The sequence below is a fragment of the Homo sapiens genome, chromosome 8, assembly GCF_000001405.40.
Source record: "Homo sapiens chromosome 8, GRCh38.p14 Primary Assembly".
Lineage (NCBI taxonomy): Eukaryota > Metazoa > Chordata > Mammalia > Primates > Hominidae > Homo > Homo sapiens.
In genome coordinates this window covers 24,359,297-24,380,237 of record NC_000008.11, presented here as the reverse complement: position 1 = coordinate 24,380,237, position 20,941 = coordinate 24,359,297, and the positions used below count along the sequence as shown (strand labels likewise).

General features: G+C 35.6%; 1 long non-coding RNA gene across 1 annotated transcript in view; it reads left to right on the top strand.

Annotated features, from left to right (window-relative positions):
• The window catches only part of ADAM7-AS1 (ADAM7, ADAMDEC1 and ADAM28 antisense RNA 1), a 252,805-nt gene that overhangs the window by 168,381 nt on the left and 63,483 nt on the right, over positions 1–20,941 (top strand). The window lies entirely within an intron of this gene.

Here is a 20,941-nt window from a genome sequence, read left to right as displayed (position 1 = left end):
CTTGATAAAGAATTTCAAATATTTTACTGTGGGAGATCTCTATGATGGCTTCAACTGCTGCAAAGAAGAAGCCTGTCTCAAGGATATGATAATGTAAGAGTCAGAGGTTCGAGATGAGAAGTAACATAGTGGTGGCCAAGCTCTGAACTCCTTTGATGCTCAGGAATCCCTATTTGCTTATGACTGGCATTGGGGGAGGGATCATGTTCCCTACCTCGGTGGTCTATCAATATATTGGAATTATCTAATGAGATAATTTTTTCCAATCTGAGCTTGTCCAAACCCACCAGGAATCCCTACTGGATGAAGCTGTGTTAATAGTAATATTAGCTAACAATTATATAGCCATGCATTGTTCTAAGTGGCTTGCATGCATTCAAACATTTTATGTTCATTACAACCCTATTTAAAATATATTTAAACAAAAAAAAGTTTAAATATCTTGTCTGGATCCTACCAATTTTGCTGACCCATATAATGTCAGTACATCCAGTTTTTCTGTTTTTTCTAATTATGAACATTTTTATCTTAAAATTATAATTGCTAAGACTGAAGTAACATAGCAAAAACTTATTGTTATATTCAGAGCCCAAATAAAGATACAAGTTTATGCACATAAATTATACTTTTTGCTATGGAGATCAATGAAATAAATCTTGCATTAATGATACCTTGATGAGCTAGAAAAAAATACATATATATAATATAAAATGTGTATAACACATTATCTTTTTGCCTTTACAATTCTCACATTTCTTCTAACATTATATATCTGTATAGTGTACATAGGTTGTATATATAATGTATATTTAATATATAATTACATATATTATATATTACATAATATATAATGTATAATATATAATACAAGTAGTGTATGTAATCCATTGTTCTTATTTACAAGTTTGTTTTGGCTCTTCTGGGTCTGCTACATTTTGATACCAATTTTGATTCAACCTATCAGTTCCCAATAAAGATCTTACTAGGATTTTGATTGGGATTGCATTGAATCATTGAGCCAAACTGGTAATAATTGATATTCTGATGCATAAACACGTGTATTTCTTCGCTTAGGTCTTTTTAAATATTTGTCTCATTGATGGTTTGTAGTTTTTAAAATAGAGTACGTGGACAAATTTCATCAAATGTGTTTTGAAATATTTTTTGCTTTTCGATGGTATCGTAAATGAAATTATTTCTCCATTATTTATTGATAACATATAGAAATACAACCAATATTTGTATACGTGTTGTATATACATATATAACATATATATATGTACACACATACATAAACTTATTCATTCCAGAAGGAAGATTTTCTATGTAAACTATCATGCCACCTGCAAAAACCAAGTCTCACTACTCCTTCTCAACATGTATGCTTTTTTCTTTGCCTTTTTATACTGCTAGAATCAGTAGAACAAATATTTGTAAAATATGTTCAAAATTTCATCAACAAATAAGTTATTGTAAGTTTTATTTTGCCCTTTTATAGATTAAGAAGTTCCCTTTCTATTGGCAATTTGTTGAGTTTTTATGAAAAATGTTGGATTTTTTTTCTTTTGGAACTTATTGAAATGGTTCTATGGTTTTTTCTCCTTTATTCTGTCAATAAGGTAAATTATGGTCTTTGCAATTAACAAACCCAATCTTGCATTCTTGAAATAAACTTCACTTAATCATGATGTATTATATTTATGTAGTATTAGTTTTTTTAGGGAGTTTTGTACCCATATTCATTAGAGATGTTTTCTTAGAATTTACTTTTCTTGTAATGCCTTTTTAAGATTGTGATATAACAACATTATGTTGATCTTACAAAACAAACTGCATAGAGTCCTATTCTTCCATATTCTAAAAGAATTTCTTTAGTATATCCTTTTTTATTATTATACTTTAAGTTCTGGGGTACATGTGCAGAACGTGCAATTTTGTTACACTGGTATACATGTGCCATGGTGGTTTGCTGCACCCATCAACCTGTCACCTACGTTAGGTATTTCTCCTAATGCTATCCCAACCCCTAGCCCCCCAGCCCACCCCCCAACAGGGGGGTGTGATGTTCCCCTCCCCGTGTCCATGTGTTCTCATTGTTCAGCTCCCATTTATGAGTGAGAACATGCAGTGTTTGATTTTCTGTTCCTGTTTTACTTTGCTGAGAATGATGGTTTCCAGCTTCATGTCCCTACAAAGGACATGAATTCATTCTTTCTCATGGCTGCATAGTATTCCATGGTGTATATGTGCCACATTTTCTTTAGCCTATCATTCATGGGCATTTGGGTTGGTTCTAAGTCTTTGCTATTGTGAATAGTGCCGCAGTAAACATACGTGTGCATGTGTCTTTGTGGTAGAATGATTTATAATCCTTTGGGTACATACCCAGTAATGGGATTGCTAGGTCAAATGGTATTTCTGGTTCTAGATCCTTGAAGAATTGCCACATGGTATTCCACAATGGTTGAACTAACTTACACTCCCACCAACAGTATAAAAGCGTTTCTATTTCTCTACATCCTATCCAGCATCTGTTGTTTCCTGACTTTTTAATGATCGCCGTTCTAACTGACGTGAGATGGTATCTCATTGTGGTTTGATTTGCATTTCTCTAATGACCAGTGATGATGAGCTCTATTTTCATGTTTTGTGGCTGTATAAATGTCTTCTTTTGAGAAGTGTCCCTTCATTTCCTTTGCCCACTTTTTGATGGGGTTGTTTTTTTTTTTCCTTGTAAATTTAAGTTCTTTATAGATTCTGGATATTAGCTCTTTGTCAGATGGGTAGACTGGAAAAATTTTCTCCCATTCTGTAGGTTGCCTGTTCACTCTGATGATAGTTTATTTTGCTGTGCAGAAGCTCTTTAGTTTAATTAGATCCCATTTGTCAGTTTTGGCTTTTGTTGCCACTGCTTTTGCTGTTTTAGACATGAAGTCTGCCCATGCCTATGTCCCAAATAGTACTGCCTAGGTTTTCTTCTAGGGTTTTTAGGGTTTTAGGTCTTATGTTTAAGTCTTTAGGATATTCTTTTATTCTGATAGTTTCTTCATTAATTTTGAATAGGATTTATCAGTGAAACCATGTGAGCAAGAATTTTATTTGTGAGAAAAGTTTTTAATTAAAATTCAATTTGTAGATATATATAAGGGAATTAGAATTTCTAGAGTCAGTTTTGTGTTTTTAAGATTAACTTTTTTATAGTGAAATAACTGTACTTGCATATGCAGTTGTAAGACATAATATGAAGAGATTTCATATACCTTTTACTCATTTTTCCCAATGGTAACATCTTGCAAAACCCGAGTACCATATCACAATCAAAACACTGACATTGGTACAGTTACAATACAAAATAATTCCGTCACCACAAGGATGCCTCCTGTTGCCCTTTTATAGCCACACCCACTTCTACCCACCTCACACCCTCCTCAACCCCCGGCAACCACTAATCTACTCCATTTCTACAATTTTGTCATTTAAAAAATGTATGTGGAATCATACAGTATGTAAGCTTTTGGGATTGTTCTCTTTCACTCTGAATATTCATCCGGTGTTGTATATAATAGTTCACTCCATTTGGTTTCCGAGTGGTATTCCATAGCATGAATGCATCACAGTTCATTTAATGATTCCTCCATTTAGAGGCATCTGGATTGTTTTCTATTTTTTACTATTACAAATAAATCTGCTATCCCTATTCATGGCATTCTTTTTTTTTTTTTTGCGTGGCATATATTTTTATTTCTCCAGGATAAACACCCAGTAGTGTAATTGCAGCATCAGGTTAGCTGTATTTGTTTTTTGTGTTTTTTTTTTAAGAACTTGCCAAACCATTTTTCAGAGAATCTGTACCATTTTACCATTTTCACCAGCGACATACGGATGATCCAGTTTCTCTGCATCCTTGCTTATTTTCAGTGTTGTCACTATTTTTCATTTTAGCCGTTCTGATTGGTGTTTAGGATTTTTCACTGTGGTTTAAATTTGACCGTGATTTTGCACATGTGCTTATTTTCCATCCATGTATCTTCTTCATTGAAATGTCTCTTCATGTCTTTTTCCAATGTTCTAATTAGATTTTTTTTTTTTTACTGCTGTGTTGTGAGTCTTTTTATATTCTAGATACTCATCCTTTGTCAGTTATGTGCCTTGCTAGCATTTTCTTCTAGGCTGTAGCTTGTCTTTTCATTCTCTTAACAGATTTTTACAGAATAAATGTTTTTAATTTTGATGAAGTCTAGTTTATCAATTTTTTCTTCTATAGATGGTGTCTTTGGTTTTAAATCTAAGAACTCTTTGCCTCATTCCAGATTTTGAAGTTTTTTTCTACGTATTTTTGTCAGAGTTTATAGTTTTGTATTTTATATTTAAGTCTGTAGTCAATTTTGAGCTAATTTTTGTATAAGTTGTGAAGTTCAAATTGAGGTTTGTTTTCCTTTTTGCTTATAAATGTTTATTCTCTCCAGCACTACTGGAAAATCTCTTCTCTATTGAAATGCTTTTGCCCTCTTTTCAAAATCAGATGTGTTTGCATGTGGCTATTTCTGAGTTGCCTATTTGATTTCATTTATATGTCTATTCCTCCATCAATACATTACAACTAGATTACTGTATATATGTATAATATGTCTTAAAATCAAGTGAACTGATGCTTCTCACTTTATTCTCCCTTTTCAAGAATGTTTTAGTTATATTAGATCCTATGCATTTCATGTAAATTTTAGAATAATCTTATCTCTATGCAGAAAAATTCCTGATGAGCTTTTTGTAGGAATTGTGCTAAACCTATATATTAATTCGCAAAGAATTGATATCTTTACTATGTTTAGTCTTCCAAACCATGAATAGGGAATGTTTCCCCATTTATTTAAATCTTCTTTGATTTACTTTATCAGCATTTTGTAGTTTTCAGGGTTATACATCCTGGATATATTTTGTTAGATTTACATCTGAGTATTAAAAAAAATTATAAATGGCATTGTATTTTCATTTCGGTTTTCTTATATTCATTACTCATATAGAAAAATATAATTTATTTTTCTGTGTTCATCTTGTAATCTGTAACCTGTTGACCTCACTTACTGGCTCTAGGATTTTTTTGGTAGATTCTTTGGGATTTTCTAAATAGACCATCATGTCATCTGCAAACAGTAGAGTTTTATTTCATCTATCATATGGTTGCTTTCTACCCCCACCCCCCACCCCCACCCCCCCCCGATCCCCCACTTTTCTTGACTCATTGCACTGGCTAAAACTTCCAGCCCATTGTTGAATAAAAGTGTTGAGAGTAAATGTCCTTGCCTTGTTCCCAGTTTTAAGACAAAACCATTCAATCTTTTATCATTAGATTTAATATTAACTGTAGGTTTTTGGTCAATGTTATCAAGTTTAGAAAGTTCCCTTCCATTCTTATTTTTTTCTGAAGTGTTTTTAAATAATGAATGCCTGCTTTGGTTTGAATGTTTGCATCCCTTCCAAACTTTATGTTAAAATGCAATACCTAATGCGATGTTGTTAAAAGGTGTCACCTTTGAAAAGTGATTAGGTCATGAGGATGGAGCACTCAGGAATTGATTAGTGCTTTTATAAAAGGACTGGAGGGAACTAGCTAGGCCCCTAGCTTTTTAAGTTTTATTATCAAGCATATAACATTTGGAATTATCATGTCTTCGTGATGAATTAATTAGTAGGAAATGCTGCTCTTTATTTCCAGCCATATATATATATATATATATATATATATATATATATATATATATATATATATATATATATGTAGTCTCTAACAAATACATAAAAAATATATATATATTAAGATATATATATTTTTTTTACTAAAATCTAATTTTTCTGGTATTCCTATAGTCACATCACCTTCTAAGGAATATTTGCATAGTATGTCTTTTTACATTCAATTTTATCTTTACATTAACACAATATATTTTTGTCAGGGTTTAACCCAGTCTTTTTAAAACTGTTTCTAAAATGTGTCTACCTTTTATTTTAGTTGCTTTGCCAATTTGTGTTTTATATAATTATTGGTACGATGAGGGGATATGCTATTTTGCTTTTTCTCTCTCCTTTTTTGCATTTATTTTCTTATCTCTCTCCATTTTTTGCATTATTTTCTATTTCTCTTTTTCTTCCCTGCCTCCTTTTATTATTAAAATATTCTTAGTATTTTTAATTCTTTTATTGTATTTTTGGTTATATACTGTAATACTTTTATAGATGTTTTTACTTGTTATTGGGTGCATATGTACAGTAGCTCTAGGTTGACAATTGTATTATTCAGCTTGCCTAAATATTCTTCCTAGCTTTTTGCCTATTTGCACTATTCACAACCAAAAAGGAAATGTTGAATCTGACACAGTGAAGGTGGATACATGAACTTCTCCTTGTAATTTTATAAATTTATTCGTTATAAAGATATGTAAAACTCTATATTGTCTTTGCAAATTGTACCTTTTAAAATTATACAGTGACTCTATCACTTACCTCCTCCATCCCTAATGATGCTTTCCACTGTAAAGTATGTATATTTGATAATTAGGTGCCTACATGAGTTGATACATCTATTGCTATCCGTTTGTTTTCAGTCTTTGCATGAAATTCTATGTTAGATGTATTATTTAGAAATAACGTGTACCCATATTTTATCTAGTCTGTCAATCTTTGTCTTATAACTTATCCACCCTGCTTCATATCCCTTGCTTTCCCCCAAGCCCTACAACATATTGATATTATTGAGACCTATAATGCCTGAAAAGTAGCCATGAACTCCTTGTGGCTATTAAGATTTAAATAATTAAAATTAAACACAATTTAAATATTTTGTTTCTCAGTTACAGAAGCCACATTTCAAGCTTGGTAGCTGTGTGATTATTGGCTACCATATGGAATGGTGAAGGTACAGAATAGTTTCATCACAGAAAGTTCTATTGCACAGAACTGATCTAGGCTTTCAAATGAGCATAATTATGGATATAATTTCTGGTTTTATTTGGTTATAATAATTTTGTTTAGGATACATAATTTTATTGAGGTACTTGGTTATCTCTGTTTCATATGTCTCTTGCAGTATATTGTAAATTATCTTTATTCTAATTTATTAATTTATCCAAAAATACTTTTCAAATGGTTCTTTACATAGTTATGTTTCTGTAACCCTGTATTCCTGAGTATATTTTTTAACTAAACCATTATAACTGAGGGACCATTTGAATGTAAAATCCTAGAGTCTAAGTTCTGAAAAGAACTTAGTATTGAAGGAAACTTCAATACTTTACTGTTTTATTTTATTCTTGAATCTATTTCTCCTTCTAAAATTCTGAGATCAACGGGCTCTTGCTTTTTTTCTATGTGGTAATCCATTTCTCTTAGAATTATAGAATTTTCTCTTTGTTTTTGATTTTTTTATTATACTTTAAGTTCTGGGGTACATGTGTAGAACGTGCAGGTTTTTTACATAGGTATACACATGCCATGACAGTTTGCTGCACCCATCAACCTGTCATCTACATTAGGTATTTCTCCTAATGCTATCCTTCCCCTCGCCCCCCACCCCCTGACAGGCCCTGCTGTGTTACTTTCCCATCACTGTGTCCATGTGTTCTCATTGTTCAACTCCCACTTTTGGGTGAGAACATGCGGTGTTTGGTTTTCTGGTCTTGTGTTTGCTGAGAATGATGGTTTCCAGCTTCATCCATGTTCCTGCAAAGGACATGAACTCATCCTTTTTCATTGCTGCATAGTATTCCATGGTGTTCATGTGTCACATTTTCTTTATCCAGTCTATCAGTGATGAGCATTTGGGTTGGGTCCAGTTCTTTGCTATTGTGAACAGTGCCACAATAAACATACATGTACATGTGTCTTTATAGTAGAATGATTTATAATCCTTTGAACCAGATATTTTTATAATGCCATGATGTTCTTAGAGGCCAGGATTGTTGTTTTATGCCTTGTTTTTCCTTCTCTCTTCTTTGCCTTGCCATGTTTTTTTCTCAAGTCTAAATAATTCATCTCCATTATTCAAGTAATTCCTTATGTCCATTTTTTGGAAATATCCATTTTTGTAGGATTCATATTTTAATTTTAGCATTTCTACTTCTACCTTCTGTAATTTTTACTCTTTCTTATTTAAAAAATTGCTTTGCTAATTTTTGTTTTCTTCTGGAAAATTTTCTCTATTTGATCTTTCCCGTTTGCTGATTTGTTCCTCAGTTCTACCTATTCTAGTATTCATTCTACCTATTTTATTCTGTATTTCAACTCTTCCATTTTCTATACCTGAAATGTTCCTTAATTCATTTTTTTCTTGTGGTTTCATATTTCAAATATCCATTATTCCTATTAATATGTATATTATTTTTTGGCCCTTCTCTTGATATTTACGCTTAGATTCGGATCTATAATGCAGTATATTTTTCTTTTCAAATGTCTGTGCTTCTCAACGTATTGCTGTTCTGGCAAGCAATATCATTTTTGCGTGGGACTTATACTACTAAGCAATGCATATGGAGGGAAGTGCATATCATATATTATCAACCGGAAAAGCTTAGGGAGCTGGGAGTTGATGAATCTTCCTCATAGATGTCAAAACCTGGGGACCAGAAAACCAGTCAGTCACTCTCCACCCAGAAATAGAGCTCAAGTCAGATTTTCACCATTTGTCCTTAGAGAAGCAGAGTGAACAACATAAACTTACACCTTTTGGAGGTTTGAGAGGGGGTGGAGTGAGAAAGCAACTGCCAGAGGTTAGTTTCATTTTCTCTGGTGTCACATTGCACAAGGTTTCTCTATTGCCCTAAATTGATCCCAGAGTCCACTAGGACTAGTTCCAGCTTCTGCAGGGATGCACACAGCACTGTGTCCGAGGCAAAGTTGGCAAGTGGCCAGAGAAGCACAACAATGCATTCTCTTTCTCTCTCTCAGACTCCCCAAAGTGCCTTGTGACCCAAGCCAAAGCGTCACACAGCCCAGGGTCCAAAATTAAACCCACTCCGGTTCCCACATTATCTAGGGGTTTCTTCCCGTTTCTCAGTACTTGCTGAGACTAGAGAAAAAGACAACTGTGAAAAATGAGCAATTTGCTTTAAACCATTGAATTCTTTTTAACCAAGGTAAATATAGAGATGTTTTCTTTTTTCATTAAATGTACTTACAACTACATCATTCAGTTTAGTGGGTCATTAAAACCCCCTTTTTAGTATAAAACTAAGGTGTATCAGCCTAGCTACCTTTCTTCTTTACTTCTCTATTCTGTGTTTTAAGAAGAAAACAGAACTCTAACAGTTCATGTAGCTTTAGTGGTGAGACACTGTTGCACAAAGTTTCACATATTGTTGATGCAGAGGTTATTTGAGGTCATCTGAGTCAGTATTTATAATATCTATTTGTGAAGTATCTCCAGTTGCAACAAAGTAAAGGGTGCTGGGGTACTTCAAAAGCCTAGGTCTAGCAAATAAGCATACAAAAAATGCTCAACATCATATGTCATTAGGAATCGTAAATTGAAACAGTAATGAGATACCACTACTAGAATGGCCAAAATCCAGACCACTGATAACACCAAATGCTGACGAGGATGTGGAGCAACAGGAACTCTCATTCATTGCTGGTAGAAAAGCAAAATGGTACAGCCACTTTGGAAGACCATGGGCAGTTTCTTAAAAATCTAAACATACTCTTACCAAACAATCCAGCATTAGCACTACTTAGGATTTACCAAAAGGAGTTGAAAACTGAAATCCACACAAAAACTTGAGTTGGAATATTCATACAAGCTTTATCCATAATTGCCAAAACTTGGATGCAATTAAGATGTCATTCAGTAGGTGAATTGATAAATACACTGCAGAACATAGGGGTGAAAATTTTACTTGTCCCTTTAGAGTTTGTTTTTTCAACTGGTCCTGAAGATTAAATTGATATAAAACAGATAAACAGGAGAGAAACATACAAATTTATACAATACAAGTTTTATGTGGCATGGGAGCCGCATAAAGCTCCCAGGGAACCAAGACCCAAAGAGTGGCAAAGCCTCCATGCTTTATTACATTGAACAAAGAGAAGCAATTGTGGAAAGTAACTACATTATATGGGGAGGCCAAAGGAAGGTCATTATTTTAACAAGGTCTGGTTTTACAGAATCCTCCCAGCTGTGACTCCGCATTGAAGAATGTTTCCTTTCTACTGATACAAGGATAAAATCATTCACATGGGAGTTTTAATCTCCTGTTTTCAGGAAGAAAGGTGGATGATTGGAATGCCCCCTTCTTGCACCTGCTGTAATTCAAATGACTTCAGTTTGAAGTCATCCTATGTCAAAGTGGCATCGTTTGAAGTGGTACATTCTGCTACTCTCAGGGACATCCAAACATTGGAATTTTATTCTGCCCTAAAAAGACATGAGTTATGTTGCTTGAAAAGACATGGAGAAACTTTAAATGAATATTGCTAAGTGAAAGAAGTCAATCTGAAAGGTTATGTACTGTTTGATTCCAATGATAATGCTATTCTGAAAGAAGCAAAACTATTAATAGTAAAAGGAACAATGGCTGCCAGGAGTTAGGGAGGAGGGAGGGATGAATAGGCAGAGAAAAGAGAATTTTAAGGCAGTAAAACTATTCTGTATGATACTATAATGGTGGATACATGTCGTCATACACTTGTCAAAACCCATAGAAGAGAAGATACACCAGGAATAAACCCTAATTTAAACTATGGGCATTGGATGAAAATAATGGAACAAAGGAGAGTCATCAATGATCAAGTATATCATCCTGGTATGAGATGTTGATAGTGGGGGAAGCTGTGTGTGGGAGCAGGGAAGAATCTCTGCTTTCTGCTCAATTTTTTTCTAAGTACCTAAAACTGCTCTAAAATATAGCCTATTTTTAAAAAGCCATGTCTTTTGTGCATGGTCATAGGCATGAACCTCTAATGAATGAAAGAACAGAGTGCTGCACCTATTATGAGTTTCCCAAAATGCTTTGGATTCTGCTATAGTCATGAATATTTTCTTATTTATGCTTGATATTTTTATATAAAGTTTTTCAGCAACCACCAGGAGAGAAATCATAATCTCAAGTCTGAATATTTTCTTTTACTCATTATTTACAAGCTGATCTTTTCAAGATTATTTGCCTTTTTTAAACATTTTACTTTGTAGAACTACCACTGGATCCGGCAATCCCACTACTGGCTATCTACCCAAAGGAAATGAAGTCATTTTGTGAAGAAGGCACAAGTACATGTGCATGTGCATGTTTATATGTTTATAGCAACACAACTCACAATTGCAAAGATAAAGAACCAACCTAAATGCCTATCAACCAATGAGTGGATAAAGAAAATGTGATGTATGTACACCATGGAACACCACTCCACCATAAAAAGGAATAATGTCTTTTAAAGCAACTTGGATGGAGCTGGAGGCCATTATTCTAAGTGAAGTCACCCAGAAATGGAAAAACCAAATATCCTAGGCTCTTCTAAGTGGGAGCTAAGCTGTGAGGATGCAAAGGCATAAGAATGATATAAGGGACTTGGGGAACTTGGAGGAGGTTAGGAGGGGAGTGAGGGATAAGACAACATATTGGGTACAGTGTACACTGCTCATGTGACAGGTGCATCAAAATCTCAGAAATTACCACTGAAGAACTTATCCATGTAATGAAACATCACCTGTTCCCCAAAAACTACTGTAATAAAAACAAAACATAATAATTTTATTCCAGGTAAAGTCAGAGGCTTTAGCAGTACCACCAGTTAAATATCCTATGTTTAGAATTTGAAAATTCTTTGGATAAACAGTTGACATTACAAACATATATTTTTGAATTTGAATTTTTTATAATCAAATTACTTTTGCTATTTCGGATACTAATTTGCATGAATAATCAAGATCAATACTTACAGCATACAATTAATCTCTTAAGATAATAGTAGGCATAAGATGTTGGTAGCCAACTAGAGCCGAGATATTTCCATTAAATCTTTGTTTCTTAATCAAGAGTATACATTAGATTCATCTCTAGAACTTATTAAAATACTGACATCTTGATTCCTTCCCTCTGTGTTCAGATTTTGTTAGTATAAAGTGGTTGGTATAAATGGTTCTTGATACATTTTGTCAAGAACCATTATTACATGAAGAACTCTTTCAATATTTTTAGAAAATAAAAAATATACATATTACTTTACTCTTATTTCTTTTACTCCATGCTGGATTGATTACAAACAAAATAATTAAAGGATAAGAGAACAAATATTGTAACAAACACCCTACATATACTTTAGTCACCGGAAAAGATCATCCAATATACCTAGGAATTATTCTGTAAGGAAAATACAGTTCCTCAAATAATCAACTGAGAACCTTTAAAAATTATAATTAATGATTAGGCAGTGATAAAACTGTAACCAATGTCACTAAAGCCACTGTGTTTTCAGATACTGAATTCCCTCGAAGGAAAATTTAAAGATGCTATGATCTATATTAAAAAAGTATTTCAAGTATTCTAAAAGTAGGTGAAATAACTTGTTCAGTGATGATATGAATAGGCAAGCTATTACTTGGCTTCCAAACTCATGATATGCAGCTCAGTTAGAAACAATTTTTCCATTACCCTGAGCAGTGCTGAAAGTTATTGATGAAAAGGTTGAGAGGGTGTTCTAATTTGAGCCTATGTCTCGCTTCCTGCTGGGGTTTATTTATGACTGTGTGTGTGACTGCAGTGTGGTTAGGGCAGGCAGCCAAGAGTCTGTAGCCATGAAGTACTGAGGGGCTCCCAGGGTGGGGAATCAAGCAAAAGGTACAGACAGGTTCTCTAGTTGGATACAACAGCAACACCATCCTGAGTACAAATTTTAGGTCTCAGAAGCAAAAAGAGCTGTGCTCAGTCTTTTTTATTTTTATTCACTAGGCTGATTTTGTTGTGTTTATGTGGTTTTGCTGTCTCCCATGATGGTATGTACAGCTCAGTCTTAACCATTAATTTTTATTCACTTGGCTGATTTTGTTGTGTTTATGTGGTTTTGCTGTCTTCCATGATGGTATGTTTGTTCTTTATAGACACTGTGAGTCTCATATAAATCCTGTTTACTTTTCTTGTTTACTTTTTTATTCTTAGATAGTTTGGAGTACAGTTTGGAGCTCATATTTATCAAACACGTAGGGCCGTATATTTTAAATTTCACAAGTCTCATCTGACCCATGGCTTTATGGTTTCTAGAACTTTCTTGCTTTCTGATTTTCTTAAATGTTCATTTTTGGGGGGTGTTATACTTTTCTAAATCTCCTAAGTTTGTGTATGCACAAATATGTATGTATCTTTGATGAAACATGGTATATATAAATACCTAAACGTATTCAAAAATAACAATTTTTGGTTTTCCATAGTCTTGATGATCTGCTTGCAGTTCCCTGAACATGTCATGGCCCTTGTGGATTCATGACTTAGCAAGGCTATTATTTAACTCCGTTATTTTCTAGAAGACTTTTTTTTCTCTTTTTCCTTTATAGATCTGATAAATTGCCTAGAGTTCAAGATTTAAACGGCACCTCCTCTGAGAAACTTCTCATGCCTTCTCTTGATAAACATTTCCTCTGTACTTTCTTGTTCTCATAGTTTAGCAATTTATTTTAGTGATTATTTATTTCTATATTTATGTCAGTCTCTAGAGCTAGGATGAGAATCCCTGGACGGCAGGGAAAGAGGTTAATCCTTCTAGCTCCAGTGTCCACTTAGTAAATGGAGACTTTGTAAATGTTTGTATTGCAGAATTACAGAAAACAACCAGATAAGTGTAAATTACACAATGTATTAAGCTCAGAATCTTGGTGGAAGACTTTTGTTAGTTGATTTATTGAGTGCTTACCATTTCCCAGGCTCTCTGCTAATCACTAGTAACAAGAATGGGGAAAAATGAGAACGGATTTTCAGGAGTAGAAAATCAAGGGGCATAAGATTTGACTGCAGCAGAATGGCTATTACTAAAAAGTCAACAATGGATGATGGCAAAGCTGTGGAGAAAAAGGAATGCTTTTACATTATTGGTGGGAGTATAAATTAGTACAACTGTTGTAAGAGAGGGTGTGGCGATTGCTCAAAGACCTAGAGGCAGAAATACCTTTTGACCCAGCAATCCCATTACTAAGTACATAACCAAAGGAATAGAAATTGTTCTGTTAAAAAGACACATCCACTGTCTGCATTGCAGCACCATTCACAATAGCAAAGACATGGAATCAACCTAAATGCCCATCAGTGATGGACTGGATAAAGAAAATGTGGTATATAAGCAACATGGAATACTATGCAGCCATAAAAAGAAATGAGATCATGTCTTTTGCAGTGACATGGATGGAACTGGAGCACATTATCTTAAGCAAACTAACACAGAAACAGAAAACCAAATATGACATGTTCTCACTTATATGTGGGAGCTAAATGATGAGAACAAATGGACATATGCAGGGGAACAGCAAACACTAGGGCCTGTCAGAGGGGGTTGGGAGGAGGAGAAGATCAGAAAGAATTGCTGATGGATGTTGATCTTAATACCTGGGTGATGGAATGATCTGCAGCAAACCACCATGGCACCTGTTTACTTACCTATGTAACAAACCTGCACATCCTGCACATGTACCTCTGAAGTTAAAATAAAAGTTGGAAATGAAAAAATTAAAAAAAGATTTGACTGCAACTTCAGATACACTTTCACTGGAAACATTGCCTAGAAGAATTTGTTGCTGGAGATAAAATAGAATTCTCATATTTAATAATATAGTATTAAATGTGCTTCTCAGTGCAAAATAGTTTTGCTGCAGACAGTGTGGTTGTGTGAAAGGAAGTAAGATTCCTGTGCAAGACTGTCATAAATGTTAAGTGAAATTATACATGCACACATACGAACACACAAAAATACACACAAACTTGCATAAATCAGAATGTGCTACTGTGTACTTTTGTTATTACCTTATGATATCCTTACTTTAAGAAATAATCAAATTTGAAATTGGCTATGACTTTATTTTCTAAAAATTGTATGAATTCAGTCCATGTTAATTTCCCCAAAATATGAATCCAGGGTCTTTGCACAATGCAGCCTCAGATCTAGGACAGTATTTTATTTGGCCCAGAAGTTCTGACTGAGATTCAACTTAATTATATAAGATGAGAAAACCGAATAGGATTACGGAGAAAATTCTAAAAGCACATCAGGAGAATAAAAGACCAAGGAAAAAAGACTCGGCTGGGCACAGCAGCTCATGCCTGTAATCTCAGCACTTGGGGAGGCTGAGACAGGAGGATGACTTTAGCCCAGGAACTTGAGACCAGCCTGGGAAACAGGGAGACCCTGTCACTAAAAAACATTTAAAAATTAGGCAGGTGTAGTGGTGCATGCCCATAGTTGCAGCTACTCTGGAGGCTGAGGTGAAAGGATCACTTGAGCCCAGAAGGTCGAGGCTGCAGTGAGTCACGACCATGCCACTGCACTTCAGCCTGGGCAACAGAGAGAGATGTTGTCTCAAAAAAAACTCACCAGTGAAATACGTACTCACCAATGAAATATGTACAAACAGCAAGTAATTATTTCCCCAAACCTTACTTTCTGCTTAAAGACATATGATGCAATAGACTGTTCAGAGAGGGTCTCTGTGCTGACAAGCTCAACAACGGAGTCCTCCTTCAGGTAGGCACTGATGGATACGTGCTACTTGCCTTTCTAGATGATGGACATTTCCCTCTCTTCTCTTTATATTTTCATGCTGCCCTTACATGTTTCTTAGAAAATCCTCTTTGGGGCAGGGTGCAGTGGCTCATGCCTGTCATCCCAGCACTTTGGGAGGCCAAGGTGGGTTGATCATGAGGTCAGGAGTTCGAGACCAGCCTGGCCAACATGGTGAAACCCTGCCTCTACTAAAGATACAAAAAATTAGCCAGCCGTGGTGGTGTGTGCCTGTAATCCCAGCTACTCAGGAGGCTGAGGCAGGAGAATTGCTTGAAACCAGGAGGCGGAGGTTGCGGTGAGCCGAGATCACACCATTGCACTCCAGCCTGGGCAACAAGAATAAAATTCTGTCTCAACAAGAACAAAAAAATCCTGTTTGAATATTGGCAAGTCATACATTTTTAATTTCATTTTATAGATGAGTAAATGTACAGATTGTATACTTAAGACTGGTAAAATCAAAGAATTGAAATTATTTGCATAAGGCTAAAGAGCTAGTTTTTGGCAGAGCCAGGAGGACTATCTATACTTTGTTTTCTGTGTGTGGCTTACCATCCTGCACCAAAAACTGACTTTTCTCTTATTCTCTTGTCTTTATATTTCTGCTACATTTTCGTTCCCTTATTTCCTATCTGAGACTGCAGCTTTCCAGTGGATCTACTCAGCCCTGCCATGGGCACAAAAGAACTGAGAGAGTTTTGCCAGGAACTGGCTCCTGCAGGCTCCATTTCAATTATACTTACAACATGTCTCAAGAGACCCACGAATCTCAGAGCTATTCCACAGCAGTTAGAGAGATCAAGGCCAATTTGGCAACACATGTTGATTTACAAGGGAACAGTGTTATCTGCTGAGACATAGCACTTGGCCTGTGCATTGGAGTCTTCTCTATGAGAAATGGAGCAACTTTTGCGGTCCAGCAGTTGATACCTGCTTTCTCAAAAGCTACTGGGACATCAGGAGGGGACCGTTATCTCTAGTCATAGCATCATCATTTCATTTTTCATTTAGATAATTTTCTGAACTTCCTTAAATTGTTGTTCCCATCAGGATTGCACAGCTAAGATTTCAACATTGAGCCATTGTCTGTGCTTGGTCAACTAAGCTTAGAAAGAAACAATGGATGTGGTTCTCATGAAGAAGAGAATAGCAATAACTGATTTAAATGAGGTTCTAAAATACTAGGAATAAAGTATGTATCATTATCCATTTTAAAATAGGTTTGCCATCAAAAAAAATTGTAAATTAAAATGTATAAAGTGGAGAAAAACAATGTTAATTTGAATGATGACATGGAGCAACAGAAATTATCTCCAGCCCTCTCAAATAGAAAATAAATATATTAAAAGATGATTAGGTTATTTAGCCTTAAAAATAAATGAAATGCTGATACGTGCTACAATATGGATGAAACTTGAAGACATGGTGCAAAGTGAAATAAGTCAGACACATAGATGGAAAAATACTGTATAATTCCATTGATAGGAGCTACCTAGAATAGGCAAATTCAGAGACAGAAAGTGGAGTAGAGGTTACCAGAGATTGAGGGGAAAACATAACGGGGATTTATTGTTTAATGGATATAGAGTTTCTGTTTGGAATGACGAATGGGTCCTGGAAATAGATGGTGGTGGTGGTTGCACAGCACAATGAATGTACTTATGTCACCAAATTGTATTCTTAAGACTGGTTAAAATGGTAAATTCAATGTCATATATATTTTACCACAATAAAACATAATATTTGAGTTAAAACAAAGGATTTTAGGTAGCTGAAGGACTCGACATGAGGACTGGAGAACCAAACTTGGTAGCTATGCAATGAGGAATTCCAGCCTGTATCGTGGAGCTGAATAATACAGAATGTCTGTCTCACCCTTGCCAGTCACTCAGCTGACACTGCTGATACTCCTTGCACTAGACCAGCCTTGAACCAGCAATTGGCACTAGTCTCAAGACTTCCTGAGGAACTCAACCTTATTATAACAGTGTGCATCACCAAAGATAATTCTCTGTAATTTCTGCTTTATATTACATACTTCTGATTCAAAGTTCTGGGAGGGTACATCTGAAAGGTAGATCCTTGGCCATAACTATGTCATAGGTGCAAAAGAGGGTTGGCCAGGCACTGTAGCTCAAGCCTGGAATCCCAGTACTTTGGAAATCCAAGGCAGGCAGATCACTTGAACCCAGGAGTTCAAGACCAGCCTGGGCAACATGGCAAGACCCCTTCTCTACAATAAATACAAAAATTAGAGTGTGGTGGTGCATGCCTATGGTTCCAGCTACTTTGGAGGCTGAGGTAGGAGGATTGCTTGAGCCTGGGAGGTTGAAATCACAGTGAGCCAAGATCATGCCACTGCACTCCAACCTGGTGCAAGAGAGGAGAGCAAGACCCTGTCTCCAGGAAAAAATAAAAAGAATCTGGTAACAACATGCAGAATATTTCCAGTTGCCACTGCAAATAGCAAAGGAGCTATATCTCCAAGATGTGCAATGTGGGAATCCTCTAAGCAAGGAAAGGTGTTAAGATAGGCAGGTATTAAGAATGAGAATGCCTATGTGGAAACAGTTTCATAAATTGCTAATGGAAATTTAAATTCATACATATTCCTACTAGAGAAAAATTTTTGCAAAGTGTAGCAAAAAAGTTGGAAAACTTTTAGGGGGCTAGCCAACATATAGAGTACTATCCAAAGGAAATAAGAAGTAATAAACGTTGGGTGTTGTGGATCACATGTGTAATCCCAGTGACTTGGAAGGCTGAGTCAAGAGGATTGTTGAGTCTAGGACTTGGAGACCAGTCTGAGCAATGCAATGAAACCCAGACTCAAAGAAAAAATAGGCCTTGTTTTGGGCTGCACAGGTCGCCATTAAGCACAGAAGAACTTATCCCCCAATTGTTGGCTGTGCTACCTGCAGACAGCCATCAACTTGCCTTGGAAAATGCTTTCACTAAATAAAGTCATCTTGCCCAAGGTCACAGCTCTTTTGAGAGCAATTTGTACCTGGAAAATGCTTTCACTAAATAAAGTCATCTTGCCCAAGGTCACAGCTCTTTTGAGAGCAATTTGTACCTGTGACTAGTTGACATGAGGGAGTAAAAGCTTTTCCCTTTTGCCTCAACTTGGCTTCATTCTGAAGGATAGCCCAGGTTCAGGGCTGGCTGGGCCAGCTAAAGCCTTCTTTGAGGCAGCATCATTCCCAACTCCTCCAGCCTAATCCTGCTTTCTCCCATTCCATTAAACAAATAGGGGACCTGACCTGAAAGCCCTCCATAATAAACTTCCTGGCTGCTAAAATCCATCTCAGATTCTGCTTGCCCAGGAACCCGAACTGTGATACAGAGAACTGCCTTTAGATGGTATATACACCATTGTTCATCACTGCATTATTTTAGCCATAAACATTTTTGAAAAAAGATTTCATTGTTGAATCAGATATTAAGTAAAACATTATTCATTAATAAAATAGTATTGATGGCTGCATAATATTCTTATAGATTTGTGTCATATTACTAAGTAAAATTAAAAGCCATAATACAAATAGCATAAATATTGAATTAATACTTAACTTATATACCAGACAGAAAAGAGAGGAAAAGGTCATATTTCCAAGTGTTGATTGAAATCATACTTGGTGAGATTAGGAAAAATTTTTGTCTTAGTACTTTCTCTTGTTTCTCAACCTTTCTATATTAAGCATATATTGTTTTTTAAATTTTTTAAAAATTATACTTTCAGTTCTGGGATACATGTGCAGAATGTGAAGGTTTGTTACTATAGGTATACATGTGCCATGGTGGTTGGCTGCACCCACCCACCCATCATCTACATTAGGTATTTCTCATAATGCTATCCCTCCCCTACTCCCCCACCCCGCAACAGGCCCCGGTATGTGATGTTCCTCTCCCTGGGTCCGTGTGTTCTCATTGTTCAACTCCCACTTATAAGTGAGAACATGTGGTGTTTGGTTTTCTGTTCCTCTGTTAGTTTGCTGACAATGATGGTTTTCATGTCCCTGCATAGGACGTGAACTCATCCTTTTTTATGGCTGTGTGGTATTTCATGGTGTATATGTGCCAAATTTTCTTTATCTAGTGTATCATTCATGGGCACTTGGGTTGGTTCTAAGTCTTTGCTTTGTGAACAGTATCACAATAAACATACGTGTGCATATGTCTTTATAGTAGAATGATTTACAATCCTTTGGGTATAAACCCAGTAATGGGATTGCTTGGTCAAATGGTATTTCTGGTTCTAGAACCTTAATGAATTGCCATATTGTCTTTCACAATGGTTGAACTAATTTACACTCCCAACAGTGTAAAAGTGTTCCTGTTTCTCCACATCCTCTCCAGCATCTGTTGTTTTCCTGACTTTTTAAGGATCACCATTCTAACTGGCATGAGATTGTATCTCATCGTGGTTTTAATTTGCGTTTCTCAAATGACCAGTGATGATGAGCTTTTTTTCATAGTTTGTTGGCTGCATAAATATCTTTTTTTGAAAAGTGTCTGTTCATATCCTTCACCTACTTTTTGATGGGGGATTTTTTTTTTCTTGTAAATTTAAGTTCTTTGTAGATTCTGGATATTAGCCCTTTGTCAGATGGATAGATTGCAAAAATTGTCTCCCATTTTGTAGGTTGCCTGTTCACTCTGATAGTTTCTTTTGCTGTGCAGAAGCTCTTTAGTTTAATTAGATCCCATTTGTCAATGTTGGCGTCTGTTGCCATTGCTTTTGGTGTTTTAGTCATGAAGTCTTTGCCCATGCCTATGTCCTGAATGGTATTGCCTAGGTTTACTTCTGGAGTTATGGTTTTAGGTCTTACGTCTGAGTCTTTGATCCATCTTGAGTTAATTTTTGTATAAGGTGTAAGGAAAGGGTCCAGTTTCAGTTTTCTGCATATGGCTAGCCAGTTTTCCCAACACCATTTATTAAATAGGGAATCCTTTACACATTGCTTGTTTTTGTCAGGTTTGTCAAAGATCAGATGGTTGGAGATGTCTGGTGTTACTTCTGAGGCCTCTGTTCTGTTCCATTGGTTTGTCTCTCTGTTTTGGTACCAGTACCATGCTGCTTTGGTTACTGTAGCCTTGTAGTATTGTTTGAAGTCAGGTAGTGTGATGCCTCCAGCTTTGTTCTTTTTGCTTTTTTTTTTTTTTTTTGGGTGGAGTCAGTCTTGCTCTGTCACCC